This window comes from Homo sapiens, chromosome 9 (genome assembly GCF_000001405.40).
Source record: "Homo sapiens chromosome 9, GRCh38.p14 Primary Assembly".
Classification (NCBI taxonomy): domain Eukaryota; kingdom Metazoa; phylum Chordata; class Mammalia; order Primates; family Hominidae; genus Homo; species Homo sapiens.
In genome coordinates this window covers 132,572,175-132,590,916 of record NC_000009.12, presented here as the reverse complement: position 1 = coordinate 132,590,916, position 18,742 = coordinate 132,572,175, and the positions used below count along the sequence as shown (strand labels likewise).

At 56.5% G+C, this 18,742-nt stretch overlaps 2 protein-coding genes across 3 annotated transcripts in view, besides 2 other annotated features; both read right to left on the bottom strand.

Annotated features, from left to right (window-relative positions):
- Window positions 1–664: 664 nt before the first annotated feature.
- BARHL1 (BarH like homeobox 1) lies at window positions 665–8,311 on the bottom strand. Its single transcript, NM_020064.4, has 3 exons — window positions 7,654–8,311; window positions 3,366–3,588; window positions 665–1,689 (listed from the first exon to the last, which is right to left on the bottom strand). The coding sequence occupies exons 1-3, from the start codon at window positions 8,117–8,119 to the stop codon at window positions 1,395–1,397; spliced, it is 984 nt and encodes a 327-aa protein (NP_064448.1). The 5' UTR covers window positions 8,120–8,311; the 3' UTR covers window positions 665–1,394.
- Window positions 3,093–3,945: an enhancer, noted in NCBI's record as "H3K27ac-H3K4me1 hESC enhancer chr9:135462359-135463211 (GRCh37/hg19 assembly coordinates)". NCBI's record gives its function as "activates a minimal SCP1, AML or CMV promoter by ChIP-STARR-seq in naive H9 embryonic stem cells {active_cell/tissue: H9 hESC(naive)}" and the evidence as "EXISTENCE:reporter gene assay evidence [ECO:0000049][PMID:30033119]".
- Window positions 15,608–15,677: a silencer, noted in NCBI's record as "silent region_20434". NCBI's record gives its function as "represses an Ori minimal core promoter by ATAC-STARR-seq in GM12878 lymphoblastoid cells {active_cell/tissue: GM12878}" and the evidence as "EXISTENCE:reporter gene assay evidence [ECO:0000049][PMID:35858748]".
- CFAP77 (cilia and flagella associated protein 77) overlaps window positions 17,598–18,742 on the bottom strand; it is a 163,109-nt gene continuing 161,964 nt past the window's right edge. For both annotated transcript variants that reach the window (NM_207417.3, NM_001282957.2), the window contains one exon: window positions 17,598–18,529. In NM_207417.3, coding sequence (NP_997300.1) covers window positions 18,407–18,529 — 123 coding nt within the window. In that variant the 3' untranslated portion in view covers window positions 17,598–18,406. The remainder of the gene's footprint in view (window positions 18,530–18,742) is intronic.

Below are 18,742 nucleotides of genomic sequence, written 5' to 3'. Positions count from 1 at the left end.
CTCATTTCCAACCTCCTCCCGGGGTAAAGGGGAGGTGAGAAGATGTGGGAGTGGGGGTTTACCCGATGTGGCGTCTGGTTCGCAGCGAAGGCGCGCGGAGTCCTGCCTGGTGCGGGAGGCCGGGAGGCCCGGGCCGCCTTGGCGCCCGCGAGCGTCGGGAGCCCGAGCGCGGCCGGACGCTGGGCGGAGGGTGGGAGTGATGGGGGGAGCAGCCTCGGAGCCCATCTGTCGGCCCGCGCCCGGCGGGCCGGTCACCAGCTGCCGGGGCCCTTGTCGCGGCCAGATGAGTCGGCTCGGCGAGGGCCCCGCAGCCCGGCCCGCAGCCGACCGAGGCCCCGCGCTGACCCCCGCCTGTTCCGGCACGGACCCCCGCCCCGGCCCTCGGGACCGTCTGGGAGCCGCTAGGAACCAGATGGAGACAGAGGAGGAGGAGGGGAACAACGAGCTGGCCTCGCTGTAGAGATGGGAAGACTGAGGCCAGGGAGGGGAGACCCGGGCCCCAGCGAGTCCCGTCGGGGCCCCCGCGCATGTCCACAGCACCGGGGAAGAGAAGGGGGACAAAAATGTTTCGTTATTGAGGATGGAAGGAAACCGAGTCCCCAGGAGAGGGATGGGAGAGGGGTTGAGTGCGGACCCAGCGACGCGAGCGCGGACAGGCGCCTGGTCATTTGTAAGAAGTTTATTTCGACATTTAAAAAAGAGAGAACCCGAGAGGCCTGGCTGCCCCCGGACCGGGGCTGAGGCTGGGGGCTGGGGTCGGGGTGGGTGGGCAAGCCCCCTTGGCCCCTTCCTGCCCCGCCTGGGAGTGGGGAGGGCACAGGCCACAGACTCACTAATCCACGGACACGGTCACGGGCTCATGGGTCACGAATAAATAACTTCATATACACTTTGCACACGGTATGTACAGCTCAGCCGCTGGCCCAGGTGCTCGAGGGGTAGGGAGACGGGGCTCCGCACTCCCCTTCTCTCCCTGGCGGGGGCGCGGGGAGAGGGGCTGTTCTCCACCTGGAGCGTAGAAGGGGCGTGGGAGAGAGCGAAGCCTGGGAATCAGCCGCACCCGCTCCTGGGGAGAAAGGGGTTGCCTAGGGGAGCCGGCAGAGGCTGGGGGTGGGGAGTGGCAGAGACGCGTATGTACACCCGGCGGGTGGGGATGGCTCCCGGACAGAGCGGCCGCGAGAGAGGACGCCGAGGGGGGCTGGGGAGACGCAGTCCGGGGTCCGGGCCTCAGTGGACTTGGCATTTGGCCCTTCGGGGGGCACTGGGCTGGGGCGCCAGGGAGGGCCGGGCAGGGCCCCCTCCCGGGAAAGGGCGTCGAACCTGCGCCCTCAGAAAGGCGGGCGGAAGGGGCCACGCCGAGCCCGCGGGAGGAGGCCCCGGAGCCGACGGGCGCCTCACCGAGGCTGCGCGGCGCGTGGGAGGACGCCGGCCAGGGGGGGCAGCGGCGGGGGCGGCTCGCTGGCGCCCTGGAGTCCGTGGATGAGGATGCGGGGCACCAGAGGTCTCTGGAGAGCAGGCGGCGGCGCGCTGGGGCCGCGGTACAGGTAGAGCGCCGCGCCGGGGTCCAGGTTGGAAACCAGACTCTGCGGGTAGAAATAAGGCGACGGGAACATCCGCTGGAGCGCTGAGTAATTGCCTGCCTCCGCCAGCAGCTCCAACCCGACGGCCGTCTGTCGCTTCCATTTAGTCCTGGGGGCCGAAATAAACGCGTATGGCGGGATCAGGGCTAGGGCATCCAGCGACCCCAGCCCCTCCCCACTGCTTGGCCCAGAGAGCCTGTAGGGAGGCCAAGAGGGATCGTACTCATTTGTTAATAAATAACCGAGTGCCAGGCACCATCGCACGCCTTACGTGCATCCTCTCCTTTTATCTTCCACCGGCCTTCCGTGGCTCTTACCCCACTTTACAGAGAGGAAAACTGAGGTCTGGGCCGGTTTTCAAAAAGGAGCCTGGGTTTTAAGCCCTGCTGTCTGACCCCAAAGCCCGGCTCTAACTGCGCCTTACCCTGCCCAGGAGATCGCAGAACGAACCCTTGGAGCTGGGTAGGGGGTGCTCCTCCCTGCGCGTGCCTCTTTATGAAGGTAGGATCACCCTGGAGAGGCCTGAGGGGATGGGGGGGTGCTCTTCAGGGAAGGGAATGCGATTGATTCCTCTGCAGGCTGGCCGGGCTGCAAGCTAGCAGAAGCGAGCAGGCCTGAAATGGCAACCGGAGAGGACCCGCTCCCGGCTCGCACGCCCTGCCGGCTGGAGCAGGCTGCACCTGCCATCCTCCAGGGCTCGCACTGCGAGCCCTGCGCACTGTCTGGCCCCAAAGTCCAGAGGCCTTGGCCAGCCAACGGCCTGGGGTTTGGAGAAGTCAGGCCTGGACCCTAGGCTCACCTGCAGGTGAGGCTAGGCGGACCAGCCAGGGTCCCACTAAGGTGGGCTCAGCCACACCAGCCCTGTTTCCCTCCCTGAATTATTCATCATCATCATAATTGTGTAATTACTGTAACAGGCCTTAATTATTGATGCCCGGAGCAGTAATCAGTATTTATTATTAATGGGGCGATGTGTTCTGAGGCTTGTTTATGAAAAGCACCATTCCTGCCTCTGCTAAGAGCGTGCGAGTGACTGTGGGGCTGAGCGTGCGTGCGTGTGTGACTGCAAGTTGTATTGATGTGTGTGTCGGTGTGTGGCTATTTGGGTTGAGTGTGTGGATGCCTCTGTGTTTGTACATTTGCATCTACGTCTGGTGAGTGTGTTCGGGAGGGAAATTAGGAAACGAGTTCAAGTCCGGTGCCCCAACACCCACTTCCCAGTCACCCTGTCCCCAAGGAACAAGGGCTTGGCCAGTTCCCCCCTCGGGTTTTGGGACCAGAAAGGCTGGGGAGGCCTGAAGAGCCTCACAGAAACTCTGAGGCCCCTGCGGCAGCTGCCCGGTCTGGGCCAGGCTTCAACACCCCAAGGGCCACTGCCTGGCCGTCCTCTTCACAGGCTTCCTGGGCATCAAGACTGTCACCCCTCCAAGGGCCTGGGGCTTCCAAGACCCACGCTGGCTCAGGTGGGGGCTCCAGGCAGACCTCCCCCCACTCCGGCTGAGCTGGGGCAGGACTTGGATTTTCAGTGGCCTATGTGTCTGTCCACCCATCCGGGGGAGGGCTGACTGGACGCTGGACACCAAGTCTAGTCTCATCTCTGTCCCTCGCTGTGGGGACTTTGGGCAAGGCCTTGTCCCCTTAGGGACTCAGTTTCCCACTTTTACAGAATGGGGGAGGCTCTGGGGCCCTCCCTTAGCACCAACCTGTAGACTCCTGGTCCCCTCCAGGAGCTGTGAGGAAAGGGGAAGTTCCCTTTCTGCCTCTACCCCCGCAGCCAGGCCTCACCTGCGGTTCTGGTACCAGGTCTTGACCTGCGTGTCGGTGAGGTTGAGCGAGGCGGCGAGCTCCATGCGGTCCTGCACGCTCAGGTACTTCTGCCGCTCGAAGCTGCGCTCCAGCTGCGCCAGCTGATGGTCGGTGAAGGCCGTGCGCGCCTTGCGTGGCTTTTTCAGGCGCACCGGGGGACTGTCCCTGGAGCTGGAGATCTCGCGGTCGCCCTCCTCCTTCACTGCGGACACAGCGGCATGTCAGGGCCCGGCCTCGCAGCCGCCGCCGGTGCCCTCCCGCTCCTGCCCGTGGCGTTTGTGTAACCTCGGCTTCCGACAGCGGTGGTTCCGCGACACCCAAGCTCGCGGGGGCCGCTCTCAGACGGGACCTCTGGGGCCCCGGGAACAGGACATGAACCCTGAGGGGAACAGGACGGCGGCGGGAGCGCCCGAGGCCGAGACCCCCCGGGCAGCTCCGGGGAGAAAGAACCCGAAGCTGGCGAGAACTCCAGTCCCTGCGCCGCGCTCGGCGCTCTGCCCGCGCTCCCTGGAGGGATAAACGGAGCCGCGACGATGGAACCGGACCCAGCCTGCCAGCGTAGGGGAAGGGACCCAGGGTTTCTGGCGGAGTGAGCTCCGCGTCTGGGCCCCAGTTTCTCCGGCTGCGTCCGTGACAGGAAGGGAGGAAGCCGAAGGCTGGGGTCTGGGGAGAGAAACCTGCGTGGAGGGACAAAAACCTGCTCTCTCCGGAATCACTCTTTGTCCTCAAGGACAGATCATTGTGCCCCGCCTGGCGTTGCCCCTATATGGAAACGAATTCGTAGTGATGATTTCTCCCGACACTCGCTACCTACACAGGGCGCTGGGCGGAAGGCTCCGGGTCTGCGAGCGCCGAGCACTGGGAGAATAAGCGACCCTGCCACTCGCTTGCCCCTTGGGCGCAGCGCGCATTGCCCAGGTCTGCGTTCCGTTGTCATTACATTGCCCGCTAACGATGGCTCCTGCTACACCTGCGTGGCATCGTGTGTTTACACCCCACAGTCGGGACAGAATTACACCGGGGGCCCAGCTCCTGAGGTCGAAGGATAGACCTGGCACAGGTAGTTTCTTTATCCCAGACACTTTCGTTCGGCTTTGACTGCACAGAAAACACTTAATCGAACAAGCTCAATGCTCACCCTCCTTCTCCCTCTAAAGCGATTATATAACCAGCTAGACCACTTCCCCAAAATTGGCGGCTCAGACTGGGGCTTTCCCCCAACCTACTCCCTTTTTTCTCTGTTTTCTTTTATGGTGGAGTTTCATTGTGCGTGGCGTTTGCAGTGACGGGGTTCAGCTGAATGCAAGGTGATTTCTCTCTGTAGGAAACAATAATCCGGTTAATTGAGCCGTTAGGGATCGAGACTTTTCAACTGAAAAGGCAGCGCTTCGCTGCAAGGAGGGCCTGGCATCCAGCCTGGTGAGCCAGGAGAGTGCAGAGGAGAAACGGCAGCCCGCTAAGGCTTTCCACCTGCCTCCTCCAGGCTGGCACCAGGCTCTCCCTGCCCTGTGGGCTCCCCATATTTGGGCATGGAGAAGGATATGTGTTGGAATAGGGGGACTTGAGTTCTGTCTGTGCAGACAGATAGTTTAAATAAGTTTGAGGAAACGATCATCCAAATCTCAAACTTGATATCATAGAACTCTTACTTTTTGACCAAATTGCCTGGGCTACTTAATGAAAATCCCCCGCTTCTCAGGGACGAGGTCTGCGTTGGAGGTCGGGAGGTATTCAGTTTGTGGTGTCAGGAAGAATGGGTCAGCTACTGGGGCTTTTCTTCTGTTCCCCCTCCAGCGTGGACTGGAGCCTTTGAATGCAGGTTCTGTGCCCACTCTGCCTTGGCCTCCTCTTGGATAGGCTCAGCCCAGGGGGTACTGGCTTCCCAGACTCTGATTCTAGAGGCTACATCTCAGTGTCCCCGAGTTCCAGGCCCATTCACCGACCCTGCCTGCTGGGAACAAAACTCTGGTTTGGGTTCTCCCTGGACCTTGGATCCAGCCGCTAGTGTCGCCGACCACCTTACTTCAAAGCCGAGTTTTGGCTTCTTTAAATATTATCAAATAAATATTGTTTGAAGAGCCTTTGATAGCAGAAACTTGGGATGAGGCTGACCTTCCCCCATGCCCTCCTTGGAGGAAATGACTCAGCTTGGAAGGCGGCTGGAGAGTAGACCAGCTTAAATGCTCCACGGACTGGCTCAGGGTGTCTGTTTCTCAGCTCTGAAAAGGTCCCCTCCACGTTTGAGAAACGCTCCAGACAAGGCCTCGCTGCCTGACCCTGCTCCTTTTTTCACTAGGGGCAAAGGCAGCAACACCTGGGGTGGGGGTTGGGCAAGACCTTCTACCCCCTTCGCTCCAAACCTATTTAAGCGATATGTAGACAGCCGGCCCTCGTCACCTCCCGATCAGATATCCTCAGAGACAGGAGAAGAAAATTGATATTCTAATTATCTTAAACGAAACCTGTCCTCAAAATCCTTCCTGGGGGCAAATAAATAAAAGGAGGCAAGGGCCTCACTATCTCCAGTTCCAGCCATTAGCATGGGCGGTGGAAGATTCGTGCTCTTTGCTCTAACTAAAGCGGGGCCGTTCTTGTTGCAAATGGTAAATAATAACCATGATGTTATGAATATATATTTACATTGACTTCCCCCTCCTTCCTCCTCCCCCTTCTCCATGCCAGTCTCTCTCCAGCGCAAGTTTTCTTTGCCTCTCTAAGCAGGCCCCCCGGGGGAGGAGCAAGGACCACTGGGCCCGGGCCTGGGGACACCCGCATGCCTCTGGATCTCCTCCTGGCCGCTCCGTTAAACCTGCCTACTTTCCAGGCATGGTCGGCACAGCCTGGCTGAAGGAGGCTCGGCCATTTGTGTGGGGGAAATCAAGAAAATGGGATGTGCAGTCGGACCGATGAATTTCGGTTTGGAGTCAGGACATATCCACAAACGAATTCTTGGTTGGGAGGAGAGTGTTAAATGAGCCTTCCTAAAATTTTGGGAAGACTTGGTCCAAATAGGGACCAGGAAGTATGGCGCTGGGGGTGGGGTGGGGGTGTTGGGGGAGGGGGCAAGACAATAAAGAAGTTGCCCTTACAGGGAAATTTTGTCTCTTGAAAAGATTTCTGGGAATCAATTATGTGCTTGAAAGAGCTCTGAACAGCCTCTGCCCACTCCCAGTGATCTGCTAGATGGGGACGTGGGGCTGTCTCCCATGAAGCCCTCATACTCCTCTTCACCTTCTGCCCCTTGACTTCTCCCTTAGAAAGAACTTTGTGCCTCTGGCTTTGAAAAACAGCTAAAGTCGAGGTAGTGACTGGGGGTCAGAAACAAAATTAGGGAATTCTTTTTTTTTCTTCTTCCCTTTCCCTTCCTTCCTTCCTTCCTTCCTTCCTTCCTTCCTTCCTTCCTTCCTTCTCCCTTTCCTTTTAACCCTGATCTCATCTCCTTGGTTACGATGGGATGAAAATGGAACAAACAACAACGAAGATTCATAGAGGTAAAAAGAAAAGTGGAGGGGCAACAACCCCAGTGTAGCGGGAGAAAAGGCTGGTTACTCAGGAATCCCTGGAACTTGCATAAAACCCGGAGTTGGTTGCTCAAGGCACTTAAAATCAAATTCAATGAGAGCCATTGGGGGGTGGGTGCAGGGTACTGCCCTCTGCACTAGCCCCCTGACCTGCTCCCAGGCAGCTTCCTGGCTGAGGTTTCTGCTTTGAAGTGAGTGCCTCTTTTCATGACTCACAGAACCCGGATCACACTGGGCCCATTGGGAGGAAAAGCCCTGTTTTTCTTCCTGTCTGGAAATGTAGATTAAAAGGCAGAAAATTCTGACGGTTCTCAGGGCTCCAGCTGAAATTTTTCTGCTGTATTTTCACTCTATAAAGCAGAACCCTTTCAGTCTTCCATTGCTTCTGCACGGTTTCTTCCTAGAGAGCCACTGGCCTGATTGGGACCTGCTCCTGTCCACCAGCACTGCTGGAAGGGCAGGGGTCCCAGTCGAAGTTTAGAAAGTTTGCTTTGTGCATTTTGGGGAAATCTCCTCTCGGGCACGCAGTATCCCTCCCCTGCCCACACTGTCTCCACCAGACTCTTTGTTGCTCAAAGGCATAACCACAGGACTGGCTGAAATGTTCTGAGGAGAACCACTGCTCAACCTGAGCCCTGGGGGAGCCCCCAGGTGAGCGAGTGCATGTCCCGCCATGTGTATTCCTTTTAAATGTCAGTTTTTAGATACATAGCATCCCCCCAAGTTTTCACCTCCTGCTTTCTTACCTTTATACTCAGAGTCCGATGAGGCGTTGCTGCCACTTTTGTCCAGCTTGTCTCTAAAGTCCTCCGCGGCCTTGGCCGCAAGGCGGCCCCCAGGCTCAGGGGCTGCCGGCTGCCCGCTGCTAGAGTAGGGTGCACAGGCCGCGAGTGGTTTGCAGTCGGCAAGGATGTCCCTGATCAGAAAGGAGGAGGTGACGGTGCGCGACTGGGCCGGGGCTGAGAGCTGCCCGGGCTGCAGGTGGGAGTCCAAACCTGGGCCGGATGCCCCGCCAGGCCGTGGGGTCCCCGTCTCCAAACAGTCCCTTCCTGGAGAGGCTGGCGAAGAGCAGTCGCTGCTGCTCTCTGAGCGTGGACTCAGCTCCAGGGGCGAACGGCAGTCCCCGAGCAAGGGGTCCCCCTTGGGAAGGGCGGGGCTGCCCGCGCGGTGGGAGAGAATGGAGTCGATCCCAAAGCCATTGGAGCCTTCCATAGCCAAGCTGCGACCTGTCCTCCCCAAAAGCTCCCCACCCACCCCCAACCCCAGCCGCCGCTGCCCCTGCCCCTAGCTGCGGGCTGGCATGGGGAAGGCGGGCAGGGAGCCTGCGGGCACCTTGGACGGAGTTCAGCCTTGGGGGAGCCCGGGAGCTCTGGGCCAACCTCCTCTGCGCATTAGATCCAAAAGGGCTCAGTGCGTCTTCTGCAGCATCGCGCCGAGCCGCCGAGCCGAGGGGGGGTGGTGGGAGTGTCAGGGAGGAATGGGAGGGAGGGCGCGCCAAGTTGGGGAGAGCAAAGGGGGAGACGGACGGCCCGAGGGCCCCCTTGGCACAGAAGAAACGCGAGGATGTTGGAATCTAAATAAAGAATGGCGTTTTAAAAATCCAAACCGCACGCTTCTTCCAGGCAAGTGGTGGCTGAGGGTGGCCAGGTCAGCACCGCAGATAGCTGCGGGCCCGGGCCGCGCTAGCAGCGGGCGGAAAGGAGCGCACCTGGCGGCATCAGCACCGCGGAGAGCGGCGGCGGCTGCCCGCGGCTCATGACTCTCCACCTGGCCGGGGAGGTCCTCTCTCCGCGCCCTCGCCGCTCCGGGGGCCCGTCAGCACCGTGGACAGCGCCTCCCTGCTCCTCGGCGGCAGCTCTCTGCCGGTCCGCGCGCGCCTTCTCCTCCCCCCCTTCCTTTAAAAAATGAACTTGTGTCACTTTTACTTTGGGTCTGGGTTTTTTTTTGTTGTTTCTTTTTTTTCGTTGTGTTGTGTGTGTTTTTTTAAGGGGACTCGCCCACGTGTCCCCGGAGTGATGACGCTGATTGGCTCTGGCCGATTTTGGGGGTGATGTCACGGCTCCGCAAGCCGCTGCCCGATTCCCTTTCAGTTTGATTAAAAGAGACACCGAATTAATTACAGCACAGACCCAACTGTTTACCGGCGATTTCCACACGGTTTGCTTTCATTAGGCCGGTGACGAAGCTCCTAATGAGGGTGATTAGCCAAGGGGGGTACGGCTGGAGGGGAGGGGGCCGAGCCGACTGCGCTGCGGTGGGCTGGGATGTGCGCTGGGCTTTTTTTTTTTTTTTTTAGCGTTCCCCGACCCTTTCCCACAGTTATTCAAATTATTCGTCGGCAGGTCTATTGTAGATCCTTTTTCCTTCCCCCGTTTTTCTTCCTCCAGCAGCAGAAAGGGACTAAAACCAGCGGAGGAAGAAGTGTGGTGTGTGTGTGTGTGTGTGTGTGTGTGTGTGTGTGTGTGTGTGTGCGCGCGCGCGTCGAGAACCCCTTTTCTAGTGTGGGGAAGAAAATTCAAGTTATGTTGTTTGCGGCATTTCTGTTGGGCTCTCGGTGTTTCCCATGTAGGACAATTTGCAGTCCTGTCTCTCTGGCCTCTTGGGACCCTGTGGGCCTGGCGGGAGTGGGGAAAGCCAGGTGTCTTCCTGGGAAGTGACGAGACCGATGGCTTCACTTCAGGGCGAGGTTGGAGGACTTGGGAAGATCTTGTCAGGGGCGTTAGGGAGACCTCGAGAAATCCGTGTGGCTCAAGGGAGGCAGCTCAAGGGACAAAGAAGGCAGTAACCCGCCCACCCCCCACTTATGGCCTCTCCCATGGGCACCTCTTGGGGGGCCGGTGCTGTTGTACCTCTGAACAGGACCCACGCAAGAGCTTCCGAGTGCGAGTGTAGACGCCTGCTAACGGCTTCTTATTCCACGCAGAGCCAGAGCTCGTCCAGGGATGCATTTTCAAGGCAACTCTGGAAACGTGGCCTTTTCATTGTGAATCATGCGCCCCCTCGCCCTTCCCACCCCGTCACGGGCTCCAGTCCAGCGCCTTTCTAGGGTCAGCCCCCGGCGTTGGGGCCCAGGACCGCGGGCAGATCCGAACTGTGTCCCGGGCCTGGATCCTCTCTGCACAGCCCCAGGGATCGCAACCCGGGTCTGCGGCGGAAAGGGCGGACAGAGCGGAGCCCAAACGCCTTCATCGAGGTCGGGCGGGTCAGAGGCGTCCTTTTACCCCCCGCAGGCTCGGGAAGCCAGGCCTTTCCAGCCCGGCCTGCACGCCCCTGCCACCACCCCCAGCCCCCAGGAAACTACCCCGGCTCCTACGTCGGGCTCAGCGACCGAGACCGCAGCAAATCGTAAGGCACCCGCATGCCCTCTAAACGCAGAATTCTCCCGGGGGCAGCCTGGCGTGGTCGGGAGGAGCAAAAACTTTCTCCTCCCTCGGGCTAGGTCGGCGGTGGCCCCGCGCCCGGCTCCCGGCGCTCTCCCCCTGTGCCCGCCGGCAGATTGGAAGCGGCCCCGCCGCCGGCCGGGCTGGGGGTGAGGACGGGCGGCTCCCGGGGGACAGTGGCCCGGCTCGGCTGCAAGCTGTCGGGGAGGCGGGAGGGCGGGGGCCCAGGCTCTGGATCGGCGGCGGCCACTGCAGTGGGCACCTCCCGCGGCGGTCCGGGCCGGCAGCTCATTTCAGTTTGGTGGATGAGGAGGGGCCCATAAATCACGAGGAGAGCCGGCTGCCCTGGCTCTTCCAGTCCAGTCCCCAGCCTGGCCTTGCTCCTGCTCTGGGCGTCTCTGGAGACCCCACTTCCCTCCCCATCACCCACTCCTCCCAGGCCTGCGCCCGCATCCCCTGAGGAATCTCATCTTCCTCGGAGCACCGAGATCCTCACTTAGATCGACGGCGAGCCCCCGCCACCACACAACCCCCCTGTTAGCCACGGCGATGCCCCTGGCCAAGCATGCGCGGGACCGCCTGGTCCCCAGAGCGTCCGCTCTGTCCTCCTCTGCCCCGGGCGGGTCCGGAGCCGCCCCTCCCCAGGGCGACAAGCAGCTGGCAACGCCAGGGCCTTTTCTGGCCTTTGGCTCTTGGGTTGGGATTTGGATCCCGGACCCAGCGAAAGCGAAGCTTGGGAGCGAAGGGAGCTGCGATCGATTGAGAGCGGCCGGGAGTGAGGGTGGCTCCAACCTCTCCCGGTGGGAAAGAACACCAAAGCCGGACCTCCTGCCGCCCCAGCCGGTTTTGCCGGGCTTCTTGGAGCCCAAGACTATTAGCGGGTTGTCAGTACACTATCATTAGTATTGAGTTACCGCCGTCTATTATCATCTAAAATGTGCTGTGCGATTTATTTCGTTTGAAATTTACTCTGGGATTTAGCCCTCTCTCAATAACATCGTTTTATTCCGATTTCGGGATTCCCAGCTCCATGCAGGTGCCTCCTCCTCTGATTTTCCCATTATCGGTGTGGGTCTTGCATCTCACCCTGTCCACTGCGGAAGAGATTTTTGGGGGCTCACCTGAGCTCTCGTTTAGCTGGGAATTTACTCAGCGTCCAGGGGGCCCTGAGTCCACCCTACTTTCCCACCTTTGGGAAAGAGGCCTGGTTGGTTGCGTGGGGTATCAGGGCTTCCAGGTCCAAAGGAGCTGGGGATGAGCCTCGGCAATATGCCCAACTTCTCTGAGCCCCTGTTCCCACAGCAGGAGGCAGGCCCCTCTCCCCAGCCCCAGGTCCCCACCCTGAGCAATTCTTGGCCCCCTCCCCAAGGGACTGGCAGGGGTGCATTGGGGGCCTCAAAAAATAAATAAATAAATAAAATCAGTGTGATGAAGGTACATCAAGGGCCGGGGTCCCCAGGATCACTCAGTCTTAACCAAGAGCCAGAACTGCCACCCCAGTGTCCAAGTTCTGTGTTCTCTGTGCTCTCTTTTCAGGACCCCAACTCCTCTCATCCCCCAGCTTCCCACTTCCTCTTGAAATCTCTTGCTTCCAATTCCAGTCCTTGCCTGCCCAGTCCTTTGGTGTTGCTTTCTTTTAGACCTTTAGCCTCTTGATGGACTCAGAGCCCTAGCAGGTCCAAGACCTCCCACCCATACCCACAGAGCCGACCACAGTTGCTCTTCTCCAGGGGCAGGGCAGGCAGGTGCATGAAGAAGCCTCCAGAAGGCTCTGGCACTGCCCACACTCTGGACAACTCATCTCTCTTGCCCAGACCTCGGCTTTCCCTTGGGTACAAAGGCATTAACATTGGAACATGGCAGTGAGAGATGCGGGTGGGAGAGTCCCCCTGCTTGTTCAGAAGCCACCTGGCTGTAGAATCCATGTCCTTCTTCGCCACCTGGGGCTCTTGGCTTGGGTTTGGCTTTGGGTCAGGAATGACTTGGGCAGGCCTGAGACCCTGGCTAGGTCATGGCTCTTAGCAACTTTCTCCTAGCCCCACCTCCTTCTCCACGTAACACCTCTCAGCCCTGGAGCTAGCGAATGGGTTGTTTCTGCTGGTTTTGCTCACCGAGGTCCCCAGGCAGAATCACACAGAGCAATCTGCCCAAAGCTTTTTGAGAATGATCCCAAAGTGGTCTTTCCTCCCTTATGAATGGTGGCTTAAACTCAGGGCTCCTACTAGAGCTGTTCAAGCTTCTGAATAGCTGGGTCTAGTGGTAGCATATGGGCAGGGGTTGTTGAGGACAGACTCGGAATTGGTCAGACTTGAGTTCAAATTCTCTAGACTCTAGAATCCAGGGCTGGGACTAAGGTGAAGGAGATGAGGCAGGTCACATAAGATGTTATTTAAAATGTTGATATTTTATCCATCATGAATTTTTACATTTTGGTTTTTAAAATGTATTAAAATATCATTGGTTTTGGTTCCTGAGTTTTTTTGGCGCCTCTTAGATTTTGCCCCTTACGCGAGTGCCTCTCCCGTCTCATCCTAGTCCAGGATGCACTCTGTGACCTTCAGCAAATCGCCGTCTTTCTTTTTTTAAAGCAGGTCACTTTCTGAGCTGTTTTTTCTTCCAGCTGTAAGGTGGGGATATTGTTGCCCTCTTCACGTGGTTCGTGTGAGGAATCTTGGCACTTGGCTGCAGGCTCGAAGAATAGCAATTATGTAATTCATAGTACAACTGCTGTTAATAATACCTAGAGCCTTTTTCCTCTGGCAGGTTTGAGTCCTCAGGCTTGTCTCCTCAGCCCTCTCTAGAAAAGTCAGCACCCACCTTTACCCAGGGTCTTCCTACCAAAACCAGTTTTTAAGGCAAAGTGAGCAGAGGATTCGAATGATACAGGCCAGGCCTGGGTGTCATCTCTCTGCTCTGCAAACAGTGGAGTTGGACAAGGATTTGGGCAATTTGTGGGCTTCAAGGTCATGCTGTTCTTATGTGTTTTTTTTTTGTTTGTTTGTTTTGTTTTAGCTTAAAACCTCATAGAGCTCCTGAAACCAGGAAAAGAACATATTTTTTCTTTTCCTCTTTTCATCCTTCCCTCTCTTCCTACCTCCCTCCCTTCCTTTCTCCTCTCCTCCCTCCCTTCCTTCCTGTCTTCCTCCCCTCTTCCCTTTCTCCCTTCCTTCCCATTGGCTCCTCCTCCCTCCCTTCCTGCCCCTTCCCTCCCTTTCTTCCTTCCTCTCTTCCTCTCTCTTCTTCCTCTCACCCTCCTTTTCTTCCTGTTTCCCTCCCCACTCACTCCCTCCCTGTTTCTTCTTTCCTTCTTCCCTCCCTTCCTTTTTTTCTCCCTCCATTCTTTCCTTCTTCCTTCCCTTCCTCTCTCCATCCCTCCCCTCCCCTTCCCTCCTTCCTTCCTTCCTCCCTTCCTTCCTAGCATACCCTCCATCCTGTGCATCATGCCAGATACTGGTGAGTCATGGAGAGTGGGACAGAGCTGATCCACTTGAATGGAGCCCACAGAATGCATTGGTGCCCATGGATCTAAATCCCCTTCATAGATAATCTCCCATTGTACATTCAAGTTTATAAGTTACCTGCATTCAATTCTAGGAACCTGCATAAAAAGCCAACCTAGTTTTATTTTTCCTTAGTGATGATTTTAAGCATCAAAGGGTTTCCCAAGTAAAAATGAGTACAGCAAAAAGAATGATTGGGTTCATACGGATAAATGCAAGCGAAGGTGCTTGGTTGGAGACACAGACCTGTCTGGCTGCCATTGGGGGCACACCTCAGCACCTAGGCTGGGATCAGCTTGCTGCAGAGACGTGCCTTCCCTGGACTTCTAAATCTGTGGTTTAGTTGGGGCACTGGGATAGATGAATTAAAAGCCAAACCAACTCTGTGTGGATCCAGGGACCTCCCTGGGGACTAGAATTGGGTCTGTGGCCTATGAGCAGTGCTTCCAGGAGCCCCCTGCTAGGCAGGCAGCAGACATGGCTGGCCTTATGGTAGCTCATGGCTACCATTCCTCCACAACAGTGAGACTCCAGAACCACCTTCTCTCTTCTGACCAAGGAAATTGTTAATTAATTATATGGTTATATCTTAGAGAGAGAGACAGAATTAATGAAGTTTGGGCTCTAAAAATCTGGCCATGGACTGAAGCCAGTGGGGGTCAGTGTGGGAGGAGAGCTGGACCTTTCATCCGGGAAGTCTGTCCTGCCACTGTATGGATGCTAAGTAGCTCTACCACCCTTTATCTTCTCCTGGATGTTCCAAGGGGGACCTCCTGGCCCTGTCTGCAGTCCCTTGCTGGGAAGTAGATCACTTCCCTCCTGCCCAGTGGCAGCCACCATAGAAGTCAAGAGCTGAACCTCAACAGCACCAGAACCAGAGTTCAAGAACAAATCAGAAAAAAAAAAATGCAAGGGAGACAGATCCAAGGAGTGGGAGCCTCTTCAGTTAAGATTTTGTGCAATCGGTATCTCAGCCTGCCCTTTCTTCTCAAGAAATGGTGGTGGGTGAAGACTCAGCCTCGTCTCCAGGTGTCCTTAAGCCTGTCCATCTTCATGAGTCCTCTTCCCAACGGCTCCATCTCCACGCTCTGGCACCCAGTCCTGCACTTGCCCCGTCCACCTTGCCAGGTGCACATAAGTGTGGTGCTGCCTCCCTCTTACCTTGGAGGGGACTTCAGAGAATTTCAAGCAGGCCAGGTGAGGGCCCAGACCAGCTGCCTCCCTAGGCCTGTGGAAACAGTGCCTGTGGACCTCTTTGGTTAAACCTCCTATGAGGTGTTGCCAAGAAGGTCAACCAGGAGGTAGAATGTTCCTAACTGCCAACCAGTGAGGAAATTAGCCAAAACGGAGGCACAAAGTCATACCTCCAACGACACTCACGCTCACCCGGCATTTGTTGGTGCGTGACTGGGAGGACTTGGGATGGAAAGCTAGGCTATCCCCATTTCCATCCATCTTTCATTGGGAAGGGGTTTTGGGGGGCAGGCTCTGGAACGTGTCGTGGACGTCACTGGCCTGGGAGAGTTCACTGCCCTGGCTTCGTGAGTGGACTCAGGATTCCTTTCACGTCCACTTTCCACCTATGAAGTTGAGGAAATGGCAGTGGAGGGAGACGAACAAGATGATCCCCAAGGCCCTTCCAGGCTGGACGCTGTGGGGACTCTATCCAGGTCATAAAGGGCAGGTAGTTGCCCCAGCCAGGGTCAGCTCAGGTGAGGACAGGGGTTTGGCCGAGGTGACAGGATACCCAAGAAAGTAGAATCAGGCCAGAATCAGACTCGGGGCTTTGTGCAGTCACAGATAATCAATGAGGCGGGAAGAACCAGGCTTGGTGGGGGAAGGACGCCAGGAGAGAGGGAAGGGCCGGGAATCTCCGCCGCCTCTGACTCAGACTCGCCAGCAGGTGGCACTGTAGGACAAGGAGCTGAGGGTCTCTCCAGTGAGCACTGCTTCCGGCCTGGGCTGGGAGCACCCGGAGGACTCCAGAGAGCACCCAGAGTGATGCTTCCAGGGCATCTGCCACAGCCCTAGCGGGTCCCACAGCAAATGGGGCAAGGAGTGATTGGAGAAACAAAAGAGATTTCCTAGCTGAGCCTGTCCTGCCTGCCTCGGCCCAGGTCCTGGGGAAAAGCAGGCCTGGGAGGGCATCTCTGTTGCCACAGTGGGGCCAATTTTGGGTTCTTCAGGAAACTCTTCTGCCTCCTGATGTGCCCCCTCCCCTTTCCGTAGGGGATTTCAGAGCGAAAGAGTGGGCTCGATTCAAAATATCCTTCAGCTTCTGGATGTATCTGGATGAAAGCCCTCCGTCCTCGTGAGCGTCCTGGCCTGCCCAGTCCCTCAGTCACTCACAGGGCTCTGGTTGATGCCTCTGCAGTGTGAGTCAGTGATAAGAAAAAAATAATAATTCATATTAATCTATTGCTTAAAAGTGCCAGTTGCTGTACTAATCATGTCATGCACATTCTTTAATGTAATGGTCACCTGATTTAGCTTGAAGACACAGTCTGTGATGCGTGGGGTCCTGTCTCTGAGATGAGGCATAGAGAGGATAGGACTGTTGCTCAAGATCACACAGAAATTGCTGGGCAGAGCTGTGCTTCGCACTCTTTTGCGGTATGGCGTGCTACCGCCTGCTCAGGGCCAGCCCACTCAGACTCTGCCTGCTTGGGAGATTGGAGGGATGAAGGAAAATGAGTATTGAAGACTTTTGGCTTCCACAGCTGGGTAGATGGTGGTCTTACTTATGAGATGGGAAAGACGGAGGGAGAAGTAAGTTTGGCAGAAAAAAAGTCAAGTGTCTGCCTTGGCTATGGTGGTTAACAATGAATGCCAGACACCCAAGGGGAGATGCTGAGTGGGCAGTTGGATAAATGAGTCTGGGGGCTGGGCGTGGTGGCTCATGCCTGTTATTCAAGCACTTTGGGAGGCTGAGGCGGGTGGATCACCTGAAGTCAGGAGTTTGAGACCAGCCTGCCCAACACGGTGAAACCCCATCTCTACTAAAAATACAAAAATTAGCTGGGCATGGTGGCATGCGCCTGTAATCCCAGCACTTCGGGAGGCTGAGGTGGGTGGATCACAAGGTCAGGAGATCGAGACCATCCTGGCTAACATGGTGAAACCCCGTCTCTGCTAAAAATATTTTTTAAAAATTAGCCGGGCGTTGTGGCGGGCACCTGTAGTCCCAGCTACTCAGGAGGCTGAGGCAGGAGAATGGTGTGAACCCAGGAGGTGGAGCTTGCAGTGAGCCGAGATTGCACCACTGCACTCCAGCCTGGGCGGCAGAGCAAGACTCTGTTTAAAAAAAAAAAAAAAAAGAAAGAAATCCTTGGCTGGGCGCGGTGGCTCATGCCTGTAATCCCAGCACTTTGGGAAGCCGAGGGGGGCAGATCATGAGGTCAAGAGATCAAGACCATCCTGGCCAACATGGTGAAACCCCATCTCTACTAAAAATACAAAAATTAGCTGGGTGTGGTGGTGCGCACCTGTAGTCCCAGCAACTCGGGAGGCTGAGGCAGGAGAATCGCTTGAACCCAGGAGGCAGAGGTTGCAGTGAGTTGAGATTGCGCCCCTGCACTCCAGCCTGGCAACAGAGTGAGACTCTGTCTCAAAAACAAACAAGCAAACAAACAAAAAAAACCCTTAGATTAGAAATGATATTTAAAACTTGAAAATTTGCCTCCCTCAAAAAAGGTGTGGCTGGAATGTTTTGGAGGTTAGCTTACCTTGAGAGGTCTCTATGTGGCAGCACCCTCATTTGATGTCTCTAAGGCTGATTTGCTCACTGGTTTTCAAATGGAGACACAAAAGGAGGATGACAAATAGCATTTTTAATTTAAAATAGATCAGCATAAAATTTTCAGAGAGAATCCAAAGAACACACGGAAAGACCGAGTGAGGAAGTGTCCAGGAATTCGGCTGAGAAGCTCAGCAGCCTGTGTTCAGCAGTCTACCCGCTGGCCTGGAAGGCTTTTTCCAGAGTGGGTTGACCTTCCAAAGTCAGTCCTGGGGGAGGAGTCCAACTTGGCCTGCTTGATTGACGGGGCCCCAGCACTGAGGAGGCGGGGGCAGGCTCGAGTAATGAACCATTGGCTCTTCCTGCTGTCAGAGGTCCCAGAGAGATAATACTGCCGTGATGAGACATCAGGCATCCCAAAAAGAGCAATTAAAACTCATGTTTGGAATAGAAAATGAGGGCTTTCAAAGCACGTCACTGTCATGCTTTCTGCAGCAAATACACAGGTCGTTCTTAACACTTAATGGGCAGAGCCATGGAATCGACCCTTAGCCTGGAGTCTAAAAAATTGTCTTGTAATTTGGGCTTGTCTTGGCAGGTGAGGGCTTGAGAAGAGGCAGGGTGAGCCTGCCCTAGGAGGAGAAGGAGGAGGAGAGGAGGAGGCTCCAGGTAGAGGGTCACTGGGGCTAAGTGGAGACTAATGTTGGCTAACCTAAAAGGGGGGACTTTTACCAAAAACAATTAGCCTAAGACTTGAATCTGAGCTCCTTGAAGCAGAACCTGCATAAAAATGGGGGAATGTCAGGGTTGGGGCAAGATAGGGAGTCCTTCTGGGAATTTTCCACTATGTCAAGATGGCTTCTTGTGGCAGGGGAGGGAGGGGCTAGGGGTGGGTGTAGTTGCCCATCCGCAGGGTCCCCTGGCGCACGGCACACTCTTCCCGGTGGGCTTTTAATGCTCTCTGGCGATCGGCCTCCGTGGGGAACGTATCAAGGTGGCGGCCCACCTGTGGATAGAAGGGAAGAGTGGGTGGGTGAGGGGAGACTTCAGTGTAGCTCATTCCAGTTGCTCCCCTCGCCTGCCCCCTGCTTCAATCTTAGAATAATGATAAAAATAGCTGTAAGAGGGAGGAAGTCACAGCAAGTGCTGTGAGCCTCCTGGTGCTGAGCCACGAGGCAGAGAGCAGGGGCTACCTGGGGGAACTGTTCGTCCTTCTGTC